Raw genomic sequence first — 20752 nt, 5'->3', positions numbered from 1 at the left:
CTGTACATCGTGGGAACATATTTACATAAGAAAATAAACCAAGATGCTTAAAGAAGCAAATACTGTTTCAGTTACCATATTAATCAGCTTGAAATATAGTTTGTTCATATTCTTCTTAGCATAAAAGTATTCAATGTCTCATTACTTGTGATTAAATCAACTACGTTCAATAAACATTTATTAACATCTACTGTGTTCAAGGCATTTTGCTGAGTGTTACATGCCATAGCCACCAGGTCTTAGTAAAACTTGCAATCGGAATATGGGGTTTTGAGGAATGATAGAATAAGAAAAGTAGAGAAAAATAAGTTTAGAAGATAGGTTTAAGTAATATGCTTTGTGTTTTCAATGTAGTATTGGCTGGGAGAATGGGGAAAAGCATCTCAGTGACATGGGTCTCTTTGGATAATTAGCATTTTAGTGCTCTACACGTTCAGAGAAACTTCTCTAGTAACAAACTATAGAAATGATCCCTGAAAGTATAGTCTTGGATAATTAGCATTTTAATGACTGAGATAGAAAGGTGAAGTAGATGGTATTTGATACGGTTTGGCTGTGTCCCCACCCACATCTCACCTTGAACTGTAATAATCCCCACATGTTAAGGGTAAGGCCAGGTGGAGATAATTGAAGCATAAGGGCAGTTTCCCCCATACTGTTCTCATGGTAGTGAATAAGTCTCAGGAGATCTGACGGTTACATAAATGGGAATTCCCCTGCACAAGCTCTCTCCTGTCTGCCGCCATGTAAGACGTGACTTTGTTCCTTAATCGCTTTCCGTCATGATTGTGAGGCCTCCCCAGCTATGCGGAACTGTGAGTTTATGAAACCTTTTTCCTTTATAAATTACCAAGTCCCAAATGTGTCTTTATTAGCAGCGTGAGAACAGACTGATACAGTATTGCAGTGAAAATATTCACCACTTCTCCATACTGGGCCAGTACATGGAGAGGTATTATACTCCTTACTCCATTAAGGTTAGATTTTGTCAAATAACTGCCTTTCGTTAATAAAATGTTCACCATTTCCAAGAAAAAGCTTTCAGAGTCCCACCATCTCTCTGTTCCTTCTGCCAAGTGACTGTTGTGTTCTAGAGAGGAGTTGCTCTATTAGCTTATTCTGAGAATGGAGGGGCAAGGAAAAAAGCCACAGGCAAACATGATAAGCAGGAAATGTGAGTGGGAAATACACCTCTGTGGTTTTAACCCACTGAGGTTTGGAATCTATTCATTACTAGAGAAAAATGTAGTTTAAACTGACTGATACAGGGACAGGACATTCTGGAAGATGCTACAAACACACACAGAAGGCATAGAGACAGAAAACTAAACAGCATTTGATTTAGAGACAAAGAGAGTAAGGGAATTGTGCATAGAAGTGTAGTTTGTATTCACATTGCAGAGGACCCTATGAGTCTGAATGCTAGAACTAGTAGTAGTTAATAACTAACTTAATAGGCAATAGGTAAATAATAGATGATTAAACTAGAAAAATGGCTTCTTAGAGCTACACTTCAAGAAACATTTCTCTGACAGCTGAATGCAGGAGGTATTGCGAACAGAAATGGGAAGTAGATTTTTGGAAAGACTATTCACTTGGCTATATTTACTAAGCACATCTCCTGTGTGTCAGACGTTGAGAGGGGCATAGGTGGTAGAATGAAGAAGCGATCCTTGCTTTCACAAAAGTTACACTTTAGTAGACAAGACAGCTATTAAATAATAAAACAAGTAAATAATATAATTTCCAACTGTTAAAAGTGCTAGGAAAAAAACAGAATGTTATGAGAGTGAATGATAGAGAAAATTTACTCAGGACCATAAGGACAGCTACTCAATGGCTTCTTAAGCAAATAATATCAGAGGAATGCTTAAAACAGGAGGTGATAATTGGAACCAATGGGAATTGCAAGGTTGCAATGACTGTGAAAGGCATTGTGAGGATAAATTCTGCAGACTGATTTGTTAATTTATTTAGTCCAAAGGATAAAAGAAAAAGAAGATGCCAATATGACTGATTTTTTGGGCCTGGATGACTAGGGACTTAGTAGACCCTTCAGCAGAAATAACTATGTTGGGAAAGAGTTTTTAAGAGGAAAAGAGACTACTGGGTGCCAATTATTATGAACCTAAAATACAAATATGAAGGAAAGATAGGAGTGTCCAATGGACAATGGGCAACGTAGGTTTGGAACTGGAGAGAGAGCCTGTGGCTAGGAATATTGACTTGAAAATTGAAACTTTAGTTAAATATGAAATATCTAAGGTAGACCGAAGCTTGAAGTTGAATATTTGGTAGGCTGGGGAATAAATGTGTTTGAAAAGTTGTTAGAGAGGCTAAAGGTAAAACCTGTATAGTATAAAATAGAGTTCATTTGTGTTAGCCTGTCATTTGAAAGGTCAGGAGGTGCAGCCAAAAGAAGTTGGCTTACTACAATCTGGGCTCTGACTATCTCCATCGTTGTGCTCCTGAACAAGATATCTTATTTCTCAGTCAGTCTTATCATCTATAAAATGGAGATAATAAGTTGCATCTTGGTTGGTGCTGGCTCTGAATGTTCATGTCCCCCTCAAATTTGTATGTTAAAATAACCCCCAAGGTGATGGTATTAGGAGGTGGGGATTTGGGGGAAGGGATTAGGTCATGAGGGTAGAGTCCTTATGAATGGAATTCATGCCCTTACAAAAGAGGCCCCAGAGAGCTACCTGGCCCCTTCCACCATGTGAAGACACAGCAAGAAATTGGCAGTCTGTATCTGGAAGAGGGCCCTCACCAGAACCTGACCATGCTGGCACCCTGATCTTGGACTTCCTAGCCTTTAGAACTGTGATAAATATGTTTCTGTTGTTACAGGCTACCCAGCCTATGGTGTTTTCTTACACCAGCCTGAATAGACTAAGGCAGTTGGAAATTTGGGGGAGAATTAAATGACATGACTTATTGAATTATCTCTCATGGTGCTTGGCACATAGAGTAGGCTAAGTGTTACTTTCTATTTCCAACATTGTTATCCAGGACTTCCTCATGTCCATCCAATATATCAACAGTTATCTAGGAATCTTACATTATCTGAATCTTGTCAGAATCCCTTTCATAAGACTCAATTTTAGTCCTATCATTTTTTCTATAAAGTATTTTCTGACTATCCCAGCCTCTTCTGAATTGCTGTATCATATATTGTCTATCTTAGTCATTGGCTCACAATTTATCTTTCATGTCCTGATTCCTTTCCAGATTACAAGTCACTTGCATACAAATGTTGTCTCATATATTTTGAATTCCAGTGAATTTCATGTTATCCCATCTAGAGTGGGAACTTTTAAAAAATAAATATCTCTATTGATATTTTTAATATAGTAGAAGTTCTTTCATCTAACCGAAACAGGACCTGTAGTTAGAGAAATAATAAAAAAATACTATTATAGGTGAAACTTATATAAAATGTAACACATATACCACAACAAGTTTATGTCAGCTTTAAACAAGACCTGCAAAGTGTGTCAGGAAGGCAGTCTTCAATAGGTAAACCCTAGCACGGGTGCTGTTTATTTCCCCAGTGTGGTGTCTGTGAATGCTGGCTGAGTTTGAACATCAAGGAATGAGTGTGTAATAATACATTCCATGTCACTTGAGCTGAAAACTTCAGCATGACTATTGACTCTTCACTTTTTAAAAATTCTGTCCCCATGTCTGATAATCACATACTTCTTAATTTTCCATTTCAACATACATTACCCTCATATAAACACTTGTTACCTAACTCTAAGATCATCCCCACTGCATTGTGACTGGTCTCCTCACATCCAGTATCTCCCTTTTATTCATTGTCCACATTGAGGCTTTTCAAATCATTGAGTATTAAAGTTGATGCATCTTCCCAGCTTTTATCATCTTCTTTGCTTTGAGAACGAACCCGGATACACTGACACGGCAGTTCTGTGTGTCTTTGGACTTCAAGCCAGATATGATTATGGGTCCGAGTATGGACTCTAAGCTCAAACTGAGGCCAAAAAGTAACCTCTTTCAGGGACTTAAAATTGGACAAAGACATCAAAACTGTGAGCCGCTAGTGGCTGTCATTGTTAATGTCTCCCTTCCAGGTGAGACGTTGTGCCAGGAAGATCTTTCAGTGTAGATGGCCAAAACTGTCTAGTTCCTCCCCTTTCCTAGCCTTCATTTCTCAATTCTTCACTTCTTTTCCTCTTAAGTTAGCTAGAGCCAGTTTCCTTATTTGCAACCCCATGAATACTATGCATTTGTTTATACTGTGTAATGTAAGCATAGTTATAATTGTGCTGTTCTCACCATAGATGTTAAATAACTTGTCTTCCATTTAAAAAATTTCAACAATTCTTAGCCAGAATATTAAGACTTTCCATCCTCTTCTTTAAAGCCTTTAGTGTGACCTTATTCCCTTCACTCTCATTCACACATTTTATTTAATTATTACCATATGTGAGTCTAATATGACCCTCCAGAGATGTTGTTCAGAGTGTGAGTCCTGGTGTCATGTAGCCTAAACCAAAACCCTTCTTTTCCAACTTACTAGCTGAATGACCTTGACAAGCTTTATAAATTCCCTGTGCATGAAGTTCTTAATCCCTCAAATGGGGATAACAATGATGGCACCTACTCATAGTGTCATTATAAAGATCAAGTAGTTAATATTCACAAGGATTAGTTCCTGGTACATATTCTGAGTTTAATAAATGTTTCTATGATGATTATTTGTTGTTCCTGAACTAGGTATCTTTCACCCTCTGAATTTCTTCTCATTGTCCTTCTCTATTTCTAAACAGATTAGTAATATCTATTGCTCAAACACAGCCCAAATGGCACCTCCTCCAAAGAATCTCCCTGAGCTGCCAAATCTAACTGATCTCTCCTACGAAACTTTCATTGTACTTCATCACACTGTATTAGTCTGTTCTCATGCTGCTAATAAAGACATGCCCAAGATTGGGTAATTTATAAAGGAAAGAGGTTTAATGGGCTCACAGTTCCACATGGCTGGGGAGACCTTACAATCATCTTACAATCACGGCAGAAGGCAAAGGAAAAGCAAAGGCACGTTTTACATGGCGGCAGGCAAGAGAACTTGTGCAGGGGAACTCCCATTTATGAAACGTCAGGTCTCCTGAGACTTGTTCACTACCATGAGAACAGTTTGGTCAGAAACCACCCCCATAATTCAGTTATCTCCACCTGGCCCCACCCTTGACATATGGAGATTGTTACAATTCAAGATGAGATTTGTGGGGGGCACAGAGCCAAACCATATCACATATCTAATATTTCCTCTGTTCCTGCTGCAGAACGATTTCTGCATTCTATCCTGCTTTATCGTTGTTATATGAGCATATTCCTTTTTTTTTATTCATAGTCTTTAAACTCAGAGGGGTCCATGTCTCTGCCTTGTGTTCTCCACACATAGCACAATGAAGTGAATTTCACAGGTTCAAAAGAAATGTTTGCTAAAAGAATAGCAAGAGAGTAATACTTCACATTTTACCCTCATTCCACCAAGTGAGAAAGAAAGTGTATAAATAGCATCTCTTTTTGATAAAGGAGGGAAGTGACTTACTCAAGTATATTTAATTATTTGGTTACGCATCAGGGACTGAAGACCTGATGCTGATGACTTCTCCCCGTCTACAAGGTTCTAATCCATTCCATTTCTGAGCATAGCCTTTTGTCTAGCTAACACACACTTAGGTATGGTGAGGAATTGGGGGAGTAGTGTTATTGTGATTGGTATTCAGGCTTGAACATAAATTTTCAATTTTAAATGTACATTTGAACAGACTCTTTAGAAGACTGTGGAGAAAGATTGTACTAAAGAGAGAAAGTGAAAATAGGTTTGCTGTATGTCATGGAGAAAGTTCACAAAGTTGTTCTTCTTTAACCTTTCCTTCTAGGATTACCAGGGTTGGACATGTAGGAAAAGGCATTGTCAACTCAGTGTGAGATTAGAAGAAAGTTGTGCCAATTAGGGCCTATGAGTACAGTTTCTAATTAACCCAGGTGTAAAGAGATTTACAGGTCAAAACTAAAACTCATGAATAGGGTGACATGAAGTTTAGCCTGCCCACTATACATACATTCATATTACTGAAATCTTTTTCTTTCTTAGCACTACAGTGTGTCTAATTTGATGAGAAAATAAAATCACAAAATTTACGATCTTTTTGGCTCCTCAGCTGACCTTTTCCCTTATCAACGTTTTTCAGTGGGAGTTTTGGGCAAAACAAAAGTCAGAAAGAAATATTCCATTATCTTTCATTGCATTTTATTGAAATATTATTGGAGACATATGTCAAAATAAGAGGAAACAGGATGTATAAATATCTCACTCCTCTCAGAATGTAGGCACAGTTCAGAAAAGATGAAATCAAAACTAATAAGCTAACTAGCTTATTATTGAATCAAAAACTTACACTCTAATTAAATATAAATAAACATATGGACTGTAATGTTGAACTTTGTCCTTGATTGACCTACTTTAACAGGAAGATGTCTCATATCTTCAATGCCTGCTAACATCTTTTTATTATTGGGTTGCTAGAAATTTCCTTTTTAGAGTTCCACTAACTTTAATTAAAAATAGAACTTCAAAATCTTTCTTATTTTCTTCTTTATTTTTCATTATCCCCAATTTGCCCACAGATCTGTACTCGTGATATCACTATTTTACATTACCCTGACTAAAACTTCATCATGCATGGGTATTTCCGTGCTGATGATATTTTATAGGTCTCATATTCTGTTATGAATCTAGTAATCTTAGCTGCGCAATTGTCTAAGCAACCAGAAGTTTGAAATCATTATGTTGTGACAAAGCCTTGACTTGCTCCTTAAATTATGATTGAACACTGATTTATTCCTCAGGTATCATTGCTATGGCACAGCAGTCTCTAATTGATACAGATAAAAGTAGAGCTCACTTAAATCTTGGGGGAGAGGGATGGGTTCCTGGTGACAAGCAAGAGGGGATGTCCTACAAAAGCAGATTCAGAGGAGTGAGAATATTAATGACATTAAGGTTCTACCTCTGCTTACCCCATTGCTATGTCACCTCAGTTTTCTTTTCCCTGAGTAACCATGAATTAAAATCAGTCACCTGTATTTATATAGCATGAAAATGAAAAGGACCTCATTTTCTCTTCTTATCTTTAACAGCTGCTTAATGGAGATAATCAGTATTATAAAAAGTATTGCTACTGTTTGCCAAATAAACAATTTCATGATCATCAGCCTTAACTATAAACCTAAAGTCTAGGTACAACATAGACATAAGAAAAAAAAAAACCCTATATGAATCTTTGAAATTTGTAGCAAAAATAAATTAAATAAAAATAAATCATAAAAGCCCTACGGAAGGTCAACAGAAAAGCAGAAGCAATGGGTTGTTTTGGTTCACTTAAAAATAAGAAATCATGGGGCTGGGCGCGGTGGCTCACGCCTGTAATCCCAGCACTTTGGGAGGCCGAGGTGGGTGGATCACAAGGTCAGGAGTTTGAGACCAGCCTGGCCAACATGGTGAAAGCCTGTCTCCACTAAAGATACAAAAATTAGCTGGGCATGGTGGCGCACACCTGTAATCCCAGCTACTCGGGAGGCAGAGGCAGGAGAATTACTTGAACCAGGAGGTGGAGGTTGCAGTGAGCCAAGATCGTGCCACTGCACTCCAGCCCAGGTGACAGAGCAAGACTTCATCTCAAAAATAAATAAATAAATAAGAAATCACTAGTTGAACCAAAAAAAATTTACCAGATATAAATGATGGGAATAAGACAAAAGAAAATTCAATACATTTTACTTAAGTATGTATTTAATTTAGTAAATTCCATCAAAAGATGTGTATGTCATGTCATGATCATATTTATTTTCATTTTCCCTGGTAAGTTATTTGTTGCATAACTACAGTCACAGATTTGCATGTGGTTTACGACAAAATGAAGAAGTAGAGTGACACTGGTAAATGTGTACAGAGCAAAAGCAGATTTCTCAGGCCAAATGAAATATTTATCGGCCAAATGAGTTTAGATAACTATGTGCAAGGCCAGATCCATAAGGCTTCAAAATTTTGGATCTCAATGCTGAGAGATCATTTCAGAAGACTCTGTGAAATCAGCAGCATATGCCTTTTTAAGCCTTTCTTGAAAAAAAGACCACTCTATCTGTTGCTTCTCAGAAACACACACCCAAATACTCAACAAATCGGTCTTGGATTTATTCAGCTAATACTGTAGAAGAATGGTATTGCATAAATAAACCATAGCACCATGATCTCAAGCAGCCTAAGCTAATCATGGGTCCTGCCAAATTCAATATATAAATAAATAAAAGCTAACAGAATACCAAACAAATATTCAGTGAGATACAATTCAACCCTGGAATTAAGGTTTTTTAAAAAAGTACATTGTCCTCAGGCAAACTTACAAAAAAATTCGATTTCCTTCTGGCAAATTTATAAGGGAGGGAAGAAAGAATCTTTTAAGACTTCATGGTGGGAGTCACCACATTTAGGAATTTGCTGAAGCCATGATTCCAAAACAATGAGAGCTTTTAGCAAAATCCAGATTTTTAGCACACATCTAAGACTAATAGTAGTCAATTCTGAACTTCAGTTTCCTCTATAAATCGTCCATTTGACAGCTTCATTTGTAAATCTGATATCCCACTCAGCCTCAGCAGGTGATTTTCGAACCCTCTCTGGGATGGTTAATACTGAATGTTAACTTGATTGGATTGAGGGATACAGAGTATTAATCCTGGGTGTGTCTGTGTGGACGTTGCCCAAAAGAGATTAATATTTGAGTCAGTGGGCTGGGGAAGGCAGAGCCACCCTTAACCTGATGGGCACAATCTAATCAGCTTCCAGCAAGTACAAAGCAGGCAGAAAAATGTGAAAAGGCGAGATGACAGGCCTAGCCACCCAGCCTACATCTTTCTCCTGTGCTAGATGCTTCCTGTCCTCAAACATCGGACTCCAGGTTATTCAGTTTTGGGACTCCGACTGGCCCTCTTTGCTCCTCAGCTTGCAGACAGCCTATTGTGGGACCTTGTGATCATGTAAGTTAATACTTAATAAACTCCTATATATATAATATATATATGGATATATATAAAAATATATGATATATATAAATATATATGGAGATATATATTTATATATATCACCTATTAGTTCTGTGTCTCTAAGAGAACCCTGACTGCAGCACTGCAACCCCTTTCTAGGACATCCCTGAAGGACAGTGGTGAAGTGAAGGGAAATCTTCTCTGTGGGCAGAACTTTGAGCAGTGCACCTAGTTGTGCACTTTCCATGGAAGGAGAAATGGCCAGATGTGTGATTATATACTGATTCATGGGCTGTAGCCAATGGTTAGGCTGGATGGTCAGGGATTTGGAAGAAGCATGATTGGAAAATTGGTGACAAAGAAATCTGGGGAAGAGGTATGTGGATGGACCTCTCTGAATGGTGAAAAACTGTGAAGATATTTGTATCCCATGTGAGTGCTCACCAATGGGTGACCCCACCAGAGGAGGATTTTAATATTCAAGTGGATATGATGACCCATTCTGTGGATACCACTCTGCCTCTTTCCCCAGCCACCCCTGTCATCGCCCAATGGGCCCATGAACAAAGTGGCCGTGGTGGCAGGGATGGAGGTTACGCATGGGCTCAGCAACATGGACTTCTGCTCATCAAGACTGACCTGGCTACAGCCACTGCTGAGTGCCCAATTTGCCCGCAGAAGAGACCAACACTGAGCCCTCGATATGGTACCATTTCTTGGGGTGATCAGCCAGCTACCTGCTGACAGGTTGATTATATTGGACCTCTTCCATCATGGAAAGGACACTGTAACTGACACTTACTCTGGATATGGATTTGCCTGTCCTGCACACAGTGCTTCTGCCAAGACTACCATCCATGGACTCACAGAATGCCTTATCCACCCTCATGGTATTCCACACAACATTGCCTCTGACCAAGGCACTCACCTTACAGCTAAAAAAGTGCAGCAGTGGGCTCATGCTCATGGAATTCACTGGTCCTACCCTGTTCCCCATCATCCTGAAGTAGCTGGATTAATAGAACGGTGGAATGGCCTTTTAAAGTCACAATTACAATGCCAATTAGGTGACAATACTTGGCAGGGCTGAGGCAAAGTTCTCCAGAAGGCTGTGTATGCTCTGAATCAGCATTCAGTACATGGTACTGTTTCTCTCATAGCCAGGATTCACGGGTCCAGGAATCAAGGGGTGGAAGTGGAAGTGACACCACTCACCATCACCCCTAGTGATCCTCTAGCAAAATTTTTGCTTCTTGTTCCCATGACATTACATTCTGCTGGCCTAGAGGTCTTAGTTCCAGAGGGAGGAATGCTGCCACGAGGAGACTCAACAACAATCCCATCAAACTGGATGTTAAGATTGCCACCTGGACACTTCGTGCTCTTCCTACATTTAAGTCAACAGGCTAAAAAGGGAGTTACAGTGTTGGCTAAGGTGATTGACCCAGACTATCATGATGAAATCAGCCTACTACTCCACAATGAAGGTAAGGAAGAGTACGCATGGAATACAGGAGATCCATTAGGGCATCTCTTAGTATTACCATGCCCTGTGATTAAGGTCAATGGGAAGCTACAACAGCCCAACCCAGACGGGACTACAAATGACCCATACCCTTCAGGAATAAAGGTTTAGGTCACTCCACCAGGAAAAAGCAATTACCTGCTGAGATGATTGCTGAAGGCAAAGGGAATACAGAATAGGTAGTAGAAGAAAGTAGTCATCAATACCAGCGACGATCACATGACCAGCTGCAGAAACAAGGACTGTAATTGTCACGAGCATTTCTTCCTTCTTTTGTTAAAAACATGTTTGTGCATGTATACACTTGTACTAAGGAAATATCTTCATCTTATTTTCTTTTCCTTTATCATGTGACATAAGATTTATTACATCATATCAGCATTTAAGTAGTGTTAACTTTATGTAATAGTATTTGGGTTGGGGATTGGTGTGTTTCCAGTTTTATGAAGGACAGCTATATTATGTTAGGCATAATTATGACTTCATTACTGTCTCTATTTGAAGATTATGTATTAATTCAGGAGCTGTGTATGGGTTCAAGTTGACAAGGATTGGACTAGGGATGGTTAATAGTGAATGTCAACTTGATTGGATTGAGGGATACAGAGTATTAATCCTGGGTGTGTCTGTGTGGGTATTGCCTAAAAGAGATTAACATTTGAGTCAGTGGGCTGGAGAAGGCAGATCCACCCTTAATCTGGTGGACACAATCTAATCAGCTGCCATCGAATATAAAGCAGGCGGAAAAACATGAAAAGGTGAGACAATGGGCCTAGCCTTCCAGCCTACATTTTTCTCCAGTGCTGGATGCTTCCTGCCCTCAAACATTGAACTCAAAGTTCTTCAGTTTTGGGACTCAGGCTTGCTCTTCTTGCTCCTCAGCTTGCAGACAGCCTATTGTGGGACCTCGTGATCATGTAAGTTAATACTTAATAAATTCCCTTATATGTGCGTGCGTGTGTGTGTGTGTGTGTGTGTGTTCTATTAGTTCTGTCCTTCTAAGATAACCCTGCCTAATACAAACCCTACCACCAAATAAACCATCCAACCCTGTTTCTTACTCTGAGCGCCCATCTGGGTTAAAAATCACAAACATTCACTAAGTTGCTTATTCTAATGAATGTGAGTTACCTCCTCTCCTTTTCTCAACCCTCTCATCCAATGCATCATCTAATTCTGTTACCTCTACCTTCAAAATACATCTAAACATGGCCACTTCTCACTATCTCCACTTCTCCACTACCACCATCCTCCTCAAAGCCAACATTTTCTCTTTCCTGGAATACCAAACTCCTCATTGATCCTCTTTCCACAATCCAGCATGGAAGGCTCCAGATGATCTGTTCATGTCACCGAACTTATTTCCCACTAACCCCCTCTTCTCCCTCAGGATTCCAGTAACAAGAACCAGTTTGCCCATCCCAACCAAGCCAAGCAAAGATCATTGCAGTGTCCGCTGTCATCCTGGAATATCTCTCCCAAAATGTCCAGTTATTTCCTTCATTTACTGCATTCAGCTAGTTGGTCAATATCATTCAAAGGTTCTTCTATCATCTCTGAAGATGTGACCTTTACCACTCTCTATCTTCTTGTCCTGACATTTGCTGTATTAGGCCCTTCTTGCCTTGTTATAAAGAAATACCTGAGACTGGGTGATTTATGAAGAAAAGAGGTTTAATTGACTCGTGGTTCTTCAGACTTTACAGGAAGCGTGGTGCTGGCATCTGCTTGTCTTCTGGTGAAGCCCCAGGAGCTTTCAATAATGGCAGAAGGCAAAGAGGTAGGAGGCACATCATCTAGTGAAAGCAGGAGCAAGGGAGAGAGAGAGTAGGAATGGGGAGGTGTCACAAGCTTTTCTTTTTTTTTTGTTTTTGAAACAGAGTCTTGCTCTGTCATCCAGGCTGGAATGCAGTGGTGCGATCTCAGCTCACTGCAACCTCCGCCTCCTGGGTTCAAGCGATTCTCCTAAGCCTCCCAAGCAGCTAGGATTACAGGCACATGCCACCATGCCCAGCTAATTTTTGTATTTTTAGTAGGGATGGGGTTTCCCCATGTTGGCCAGGCTGGTCTCGAACTTCTGACATCAGGTGATCCACCCGCCTCACCCTCCCAAAGTGCTGGGATTACAGGCGTGAGGCACCGCACCCGGCCACACAAGCTTTTAAGTGACCGAATATCATGATAACTCAAGCACTATTGCAAAGACATCACCAAGCCGTGAGGGATCTTCTCCTGTGATCCAATTACCTCCCACCAGGCCCTGACTCCAGCATTGGGGATTACGATTCAGCATGAGATTGGGTTGGGGACAAATATCCAAACTATATCATTTACTTTATACCAATTATCACTACTTGTAATTAGGTTATATTTCTCTTTTTCTCTATCTCCTTCTTTAGACTCTAAGTACCATGAGATCTGGTAGTCTTGTTCACTTTCGTATCCACAGAACCTGGAATAACGTTTCACCCACAGTAGGAGGAGCATAATGACTTGTACTTTATAAAAATCCCCTCAGTGATACCATATTGCTACAGCACTGATCTATATATGTCATTATGTAATTATTTTTCATTTTCAAGAGCTACTTGAAAGCATAGGCTGCTATTTTGCATGAATTAGTTCATACAATTATTGCTTAAGACTATCTAACAAGAGGATATTGGTTTTTGCTTTATTGATTATAACCCAAAAGTATCTACGCATCGTGAAGAACATAAGAATTTTATTTTCTATCTGATTGGGAAGTTAATTGGAGGGAAGCAGAAACATAGACACCAAGTTTGGCAAACATTTTCCTTCTCAGATAATTGACCGTATAACTCATTTGACTGCTTTGGAGGTGTAGAGAGCATTGAAAGTTTCTTTCTTTTGATCTCTGCCTCACTGTCTTGTTTCTCTGATCCTCAGTTTATTCATCTATAAAGTGGAGCTGCTACACTGAGTTCTCAAGGTCACTTTGATTATTTTAAAAATATACATAAATATGTGTTTATTTAAGTGAAGGATCCCTGGGCCCCATCCCTGAGCCCACTTTTACCCACAAACACATGGATACGTATATACAACTTCAACTGATACCTGCAAAGAATGCTACATGCCAGATTCTTCTAACCCTTTGCTCTATTTCTCTTCTAAAAACACCATTTTGAAAGTAATTCAAAACCAGGTTCAGTGGTCTGTGCCTGTTGTCCCAGATATTCAGGAGTAGATAGAGAGACCCAGTCTCAAAAAAACAAACAAAAAAAAGAGAAAGTAATTCAATGTTGATCAAGGGAGAAATAAATGTAAAGGACCACCTTTGTCTCTTCCCTCTTGCTTCCAACTTTCATCTTCTTTTTTCTGCACAGATCTCTGTTTTCCCAGGGCTTTTCAGAGCCCTTGATTTGTAGAGCAATGGTTATTTTTCAGAAGTGGACATATTTAAATATGAAAGTTAACTTGGAGAGACACATTATAGATTTCTTGGCAAGGCAAGTCTGTAATATTGCGTTTCTTTGGGAAATGTTATTGGCTTTTTCTTCGGATTTGTCTGGTACCATTTTATAAAGTGAAACCTCTGATGGGCAGCTGGAATGCAGATTGAGATCTGGCATTGCGCTACTTTTCACAAGTCGCTGGTGCCGGGGTGTTTCCCTCTGGATGCTGAGTAAAGGAGAGAGAATCACATATGTCACCTTCAGAGTGAAGGATGGCATTCGATTTTGTTGTTAACAGGAGTCCTATTGTAATAGTTTCATACCTCAGTTAGAGAGGTGAGACCATGCACAATTATGGAATATTTTTGCTAGGCAGATGTGCCTTTTCAGTATAGAGATCACTCAATTCTTTGAAAGCTCAAGAGCAGAAATAACTTTCTCATAACGTGAGACTTGGGAATCAAGGCAGTACATCAGCATTTTTGCCCTGAAAACTTTACATCAGCTTGTTAGTCTGCATGGGGAGAAATATTCAGAACTCATAACAGCACTATTACTCAGAGAGAAGAAAATGGTCTGGAAAATGGGCAAGGGTGACAGCGGAGGGTCTGCTCCATCTGGACTATACCTCCAGGAAGATAGCATACCAAGTGTCCATGGATGAGGGGGGCCATAGCCTGTGGTCCCAAAACATGGGACTTTGGAGAAAGCCATTTCTACAAATACAACAAAAGCACAGGGAGAATGCTGTTTCTATAAAAGCTGTACTAGAGGCCAATTCCATTTCTGAAATGGAAGCTTTGGGATTGAGTTGGGTACTAAGACTTTGCTAAGAGATTTTAGAGATACCCTAGAATACACCCTTTTGTGTGTGTGTGTATGACAAAGGAACTGATTGTGGCTTTCACAGCATTTAACAATTAGCACCCACTATCAGTGCTTCCTGTTTCTCTCCATATACAAAAGAAACATATTTCTCTCCCAGAGTTGGTGGGTTGCAGACTAGTGGGCCTTATTGGTGAGCTTTTGTTTTAAAATAAGAACACACATCTTTCAACTTAATCTGTGCTTAGATACACAGTGATCTTCCATGCATTTTGCTTAGGTATGTTTCAAGCACTGAATGAATAATTATTATGGAACTGTAGTTAGCTGCTTAGAAATTAATGGTTTTCTCCTGAGGAGGGGGATAAATGTTTTCAAACTAATTTCTTTCCTTCATTATCAATGTTTAGCGGAAATGCTTCTTGAGCACTTAGCCTACTAGTTGAGAATACATTAAGAGGATGTTTACTCTGAAACTTGACAAAAAGGTTATTACTAAGGCAGGATTATTTGAGATAAGGGAACAAATTCCTAGAAATTACTCTCTACTTTTATCTTCAGTTAATACTTCTCTTTAACCTTATGTATAAGAACTTTACCAACTACTGTGACTGTCAAATTTGGGAGTCACTGAATCAATAGTTACGATAAAGAGAATTGTTTAAACAAAGATTTATTTATTCATTGGTATATTTATCCATTCAAAAATAAATATATGGCCCAGGCACAGTGACTCATGCTTGTAATCCCAGCTCTTTGGGAGGCTGAGGCAGGAGGATTGCCTGGCCCGTAGTTCAAGACCAGGCAGGGCAACATAGAGACTCTGTCTCTACAAAAATAAAATTTAAAAATTAGCTGGGCATAGTAGTGTGTACCTGTGGTCCCAGGCTGAGGCAGGAGAATCACTTGAGCCTGAGAAGCTGAGGCTGCAGCGAGCCCTGATTGCAACACTGCACTCCAGCCTGGGTGACAGAGACCCCGTCTTAACAAAAATTAATTAATTTAAAAAGATAAAATAAATACATGTTCTAGGCACTAAGGAAATAATGAATGAAGTAGTCCAATTTTCTATCCTGATAGAATTTATGTCACCAGGGATTGTTCTTATTTTTCTTGTGTTGAAATTATAGACCCCAAGAAATTTACAACTAAAAGGGATGCTATGGACATCCATTCAAAGCCCTTCAGTCACTGTACAGGTAAGTACAGTGAGACTCCAGAAGGTGACATATTACCCAGGGTCCTGCTGCTGTTTAGTAGCAGGTATTGTAGTGGAATAGCATCCAGGGCTTTAGCGCTTAGTTTTAATTTCCTAGGGCTGCCATAACAAAATACAATCGAGTGGCTTAAAACAACAGAAATTTATTCTCTCACTGTTACAGAGACTACAAGCGCAAAATCAAGGAGTCAGCCAGGTTGGTTCCTTATGGGGGCTCTCAGGGAGAATCTGTTCCATGCCTCTCCTGGCTTCTGGTGGTTGCTGCTGTCCTTGGTGTTTCTTGGCTTGCAGCTGCGTCGCTACTTTACCTCTGTTGTCATTCCCGCAGTGTGCCTCCATGTCCCTGTGTCTACACATGGCCTTTTCATAAGAACACCAGGCATTGGATTTAGGCCCCACCTTAATTTAGTGTGACTTCGTTTTAGCCTGATTACACCTGCAAAGACATCACTAACCCTCCCAGGCGGGCCCTCCACAGCCCCTTAACATGTTTTTTTGGAGGACACACTTCATCCCACAACATGTTGTACTTAGTCTTGTGCTCTTTATATACCAGGCTGCTTCTAGCCTTGAAGGAGTACCTGCTATTGTGAATTTTTGTTGTTGTTGTTGTTGTTTGTTTTTATTGAGACAGAGTCTCACTCTGTTGCCAAGGCTGGAGTGCAGTGGCACAATCTTAGCTCACTGTAACTTCCACCTCCCGAGTACAAGCGATTCTCCCGCCTAACCCTCCAAGTAGCTGGGATTACAGGCGTGTGCCACCATGTCCGGCTAATTTTTATATTTTTAGTAGAAACGAAGTTTCACCATGTTGGCCAGAGTGGTCTCGAACTCCTGATCTCAGACGATCCACCTGCCTTGGCCTCCCAATATTTTGAAATTTTTATTGTTCACATTAGAAAGAAACTTTGGAGTTCAAGAAAACAATATGGATTTCAAAAATCACTTTTAGTCTCACTTTAAAAACACATAAAGTTGCATATGACTTTGAGCAGTTTATGTACCATGTTTGGAAAGAAGACAAGTAAAATAATAGTGTATTTCTACCATATTGCATTTTTCTTAATTACATACCTAACCCCAATCTGCCCAGTTTTTCAAAGAAATACAATTTTCAAACAAAAAAGAAAAAAGTCATAATGCTAATTAAGATGAGTGCTTTTCACTTCTAGTACCCCAGGGGAAACCAGTCTTGATTGCCACTTTCCTGGGGCTTCCTCACAACTATAAATTCTAGGTAGGCTTACTTCCTGTCCTGGAAAGATAGAACTCACTCTTGAGATCCTAGCTCATTTGTAAGGTATTTCCAGAACAGAGAAAAAGTTGTGCCAAGTGTTGCAAATCATATATGATCTGTGACAAGAGACCCTCAAATGATTTCATTTACAAGGACATAAAACATACTGTAATTTGAGCCATAGTCCTTCCAGAAAGGGATCAGTGCACTGTTCATTCTGTTATGCAATGTAGCCTATGCACAACCTTCTAAAGTTTTTTTCTGGTTGCATTTGCCAAGTCTTTTAATGGTTTTTTCTCTTTCTTTTTGGCTTTAAAAAATGTTTAATCAGGATGACACAACTGAATATAATATTATCTTCCAAATGCCATGGAAAATAAGCATTAAATGTTTCTATCATAATTTAATTTACCATAAATTAAGCAAAAAAATCAAAAAGAGTTCATGTCAATTAAAGAAAGGCCTAAAGGAATTATCAAGACACTGTGGATTAAAAATCTGATTTTCCTAGGGGGAATAAAACAAGATTTTAATAAAACAAGATGGATGTGTTAAAATAAGACTATTTTATTGAATGGTTGAATCAATTTTCTGGAAAAAATTCAAATACCATATCAGATTATGCCTTGCTTTGTATTTTCTCAGACTCCAAGCCATTGTTCTAGCTGCTGGAGAGATTGCCATATCTGTGTGATCTCTGATCACCTTCACAAAAGCACACTCTAATAGTACAGTTACCTCTTGCCTCCCATCTAGGAGTCCTTGTGAAAAGGTAACCAACTAGTCTTAGCTTTCCCAGGAATTTCCTGCTTTTAGCATTGGGAAGTCTCTTAACCCAGGGTTAAGACTGATGATGTCAGCATCTCATGATGCTAATAAAGACACACGTAACCCCTCAGTCGCAGGCACACCAGAACATTTGGTCATTTTTCTGTGGACCTTTAGGCATGAGCCCCCATGGGATCGAGTTTAATGCCCATGCATATGCAACTTGTAATCGCGCGCGCGTGTGTGTGTGGGTGTGTGTGTGTGTGCGCGCGTTGTGGGGGACGGTGGTGTTAAACTTCTATGGGGTATATTTTTGTCCAGTGAATGTTAGGAGCTAATGAATACATTCTTCCTCCTATCTTCCCCGGTGCTGACTGCTCTGATACGCAGTTCTTGTGATTTCTCACAGGATGGTTTCATAGAATCAAGCAATTAATTGCATTTAGGAGAAGCCACCTGATATTGGCTTTTCTTCCTTACTTACTATTGTGGACTGAAAGTTTATGTCTCCCCAAAATGCATATAACCCCCTATGTAATAGTACTGGACATGGACCTTTGGGAAGTGATTAGGTCATGAGGGTAAAGCCCTTGTGAATAAGATTGATGCCATTATAAAAGAGGCCAGAGAGAGCTCTCACGCCCTCTCTGTCATGTGACAAGATGGCCCTCTGTGAACGAGGAAGTGGGTCCTCATTAGACACTGAATCTGCCAATGTCTTGATCATGGACTTCCCAGCTTCCAGAACTGTGGGAAATAAATGTTTGTTGTTTAATCCACCCAATTATGCTACTTTTGTTACAGCAACTTGAATGGACTGACACCTCCTTTGCAGTCTTTCCCATCCCCCCTATTCCCTTGGCTTTTATTCCAGAATGAAGCCCTTGCTTCAGGGTTCACTTTTTGTGAACACAGACTACAGAAGTTGACACGCGGAAGTGAACCTGGAAATAAACCTTCAGGATCAGATGTTGGGATGGGATTACTCATGGCAATAATGATCTCACTGCTGGCATAAATGGGATTTCTATGACCCCTAGCATGCAATTAGCATCACAATTTCCCAGGCATTTATTCATGGTTAGTTGGGGTATACTGCAGGAGGAAGGTAAGACATTGGACTATGCAGCAGCAGTAGTACTTGGAATATATGGGATATTAATAATTATAAGAATTGTGGAGCAAGTTAATCATTATTAACTACACTGAAAGTCTTGGTAAAAGCATCAGGTTCGGAACGGTCAGTTGTCAAGTCATGATATGCTTTGAAAGCCAATATTCCCCTGTATTGCCTGTTCTCATGATGCTAATAAAGACATACCGGAGACTAAGTAACTTATAAAAGAAAGAGGTTTAATGGAATCACAGTTCCACATGACTGGGGAGGCCTCACAATCATGGAAGCAGGCAAAGGAGAATCAAAGGCACAACTTACACAGTGGCAGACAAGAGAGCTTGTGCAGGAGAACTCCCATTTATAAAGCCATCAGATCTTGTAAGACTTATTCACTACCATGAGAACAGTATGGGGGAAACTGCCCCCATGATTCAATTATCTCCACCTGGCCCTGCCCTTGACATGTGGGGATTATTACAATTCAAGGCGAGATTTGGGTGGGGAAACAGCCAAATCACGTTATCCCCCATGCTTTGTAGAACATTTTTTATTCCCTGCAATTACTGAGCATATTATGCTAAAAATCAAGACCAGGTTCTAATTATAAGAGTGGCAGAGTTGCAAAAGAACAAATGCCCATTCTGAACAGATCTCCTTTGCCAAAGTCAGGAATTATGAAAAGAGTGAATCTCTGAGCCCCAGGATAGGGTATTTGAGTGGTTGATGCTGAGAATCTTGAATCCTAAATTTCCTCCAATCCTCTGGGCTGGTAGAATCAGCTCCTTCTTCTTGAGAAACCTCCCCTTGTTTTGAGACTTCCCTTGAAGCAGGTGACTTGTAGGATTAGTGGAGGACAACTCCACTAATGGAGGATAGAATTTGGTAGAGAAATTACCCAGCCTCCACAGCCTCTGATAAAATTATTCTGAGGCATGTCCTATATTATTTCTCAGAGCATGCCCAATGGGATTCAGCCCCAGCTGCCCACAGTGATAACTCATTCATAACTCATTCATAAAGGAAGAATTTATTGGCACTTCTCCCTTCTCTGACTCACACCAGTTCATTACTTGGTGTTTACTATTGGAGCAATCCAAACTAAGACACATCAAGGTAGAAAATCTATCATCCCTTCTTTGGGACAATGCAAATGAATTAATGGGGGTGGGGGGCGGTTAGGAGGAAATTTCCTTGACCTGATTTGGTACCCAGAAAAGCAGGGGGAAATAAATTTGCCAAAGAGTCATAAGACACTATGGTTTCAGGAAGCATCTCTTGATGAGGCAAAGTAGAAGAAAGAGACTCTATTGTAAGTAGTTCTCCAGCTATCTGATTAGCTGAGATAAACCTTCTATAGCAATCCCTATAGATGTATGGTTTGCCTAACTTCTGATCCATAATAGTAGGTCCTCTGACAATGATAATGGTCATTAATATTTACTTAGCAATTTGATTTGTGCCAAAAACTATGGATTGCTCTCTGTGCATTATTTTGTATAGTCACCGCAAAAACCCCGTGAGCTGGATTCAATTAAAATCCTGGTTTCAGAAATGAGGAAGC

The 20752-nt window shown here is 39.7% G+C and overlaps 1 non-coding gene across 1 annotated transcript; it reads right to left on the bottom strand.

The window, feature by feature from the left end:
• Positions 1 to 359: 359 nt before the first annotated feature.
• On the bottom strand, positions 360 to 489 carry SNORD3P3 (small nucleolar RNA, C/D box 3 pseudogene 3). Its single transcript, NR_145983.1, has one exon. It is a non-coding gene; the product is annotated as a small nucleolar RNA, C/D box 3 pseudogene 3 (small nucleolar RNA).
• Between the last annotated feature and the right edge of the window lie 20263 nt (positions 490 to 20752).

Source organism: Homo sapiens, chromosome 14, assembly GCF_000001405.40.
Source record: "Homo sapiens chromosome 14, GRCh38.p14 Primary Assembly".
NCBI lineage: Eukaryota > Metazoa > Chordata > Mammalia > Primates > Hominidae > Homo > Homo sapiens.
Note: the sequence above shows the minus strand (reverse complement) of the source record. Positions and strands in the feature narration are given on the sequence as shown.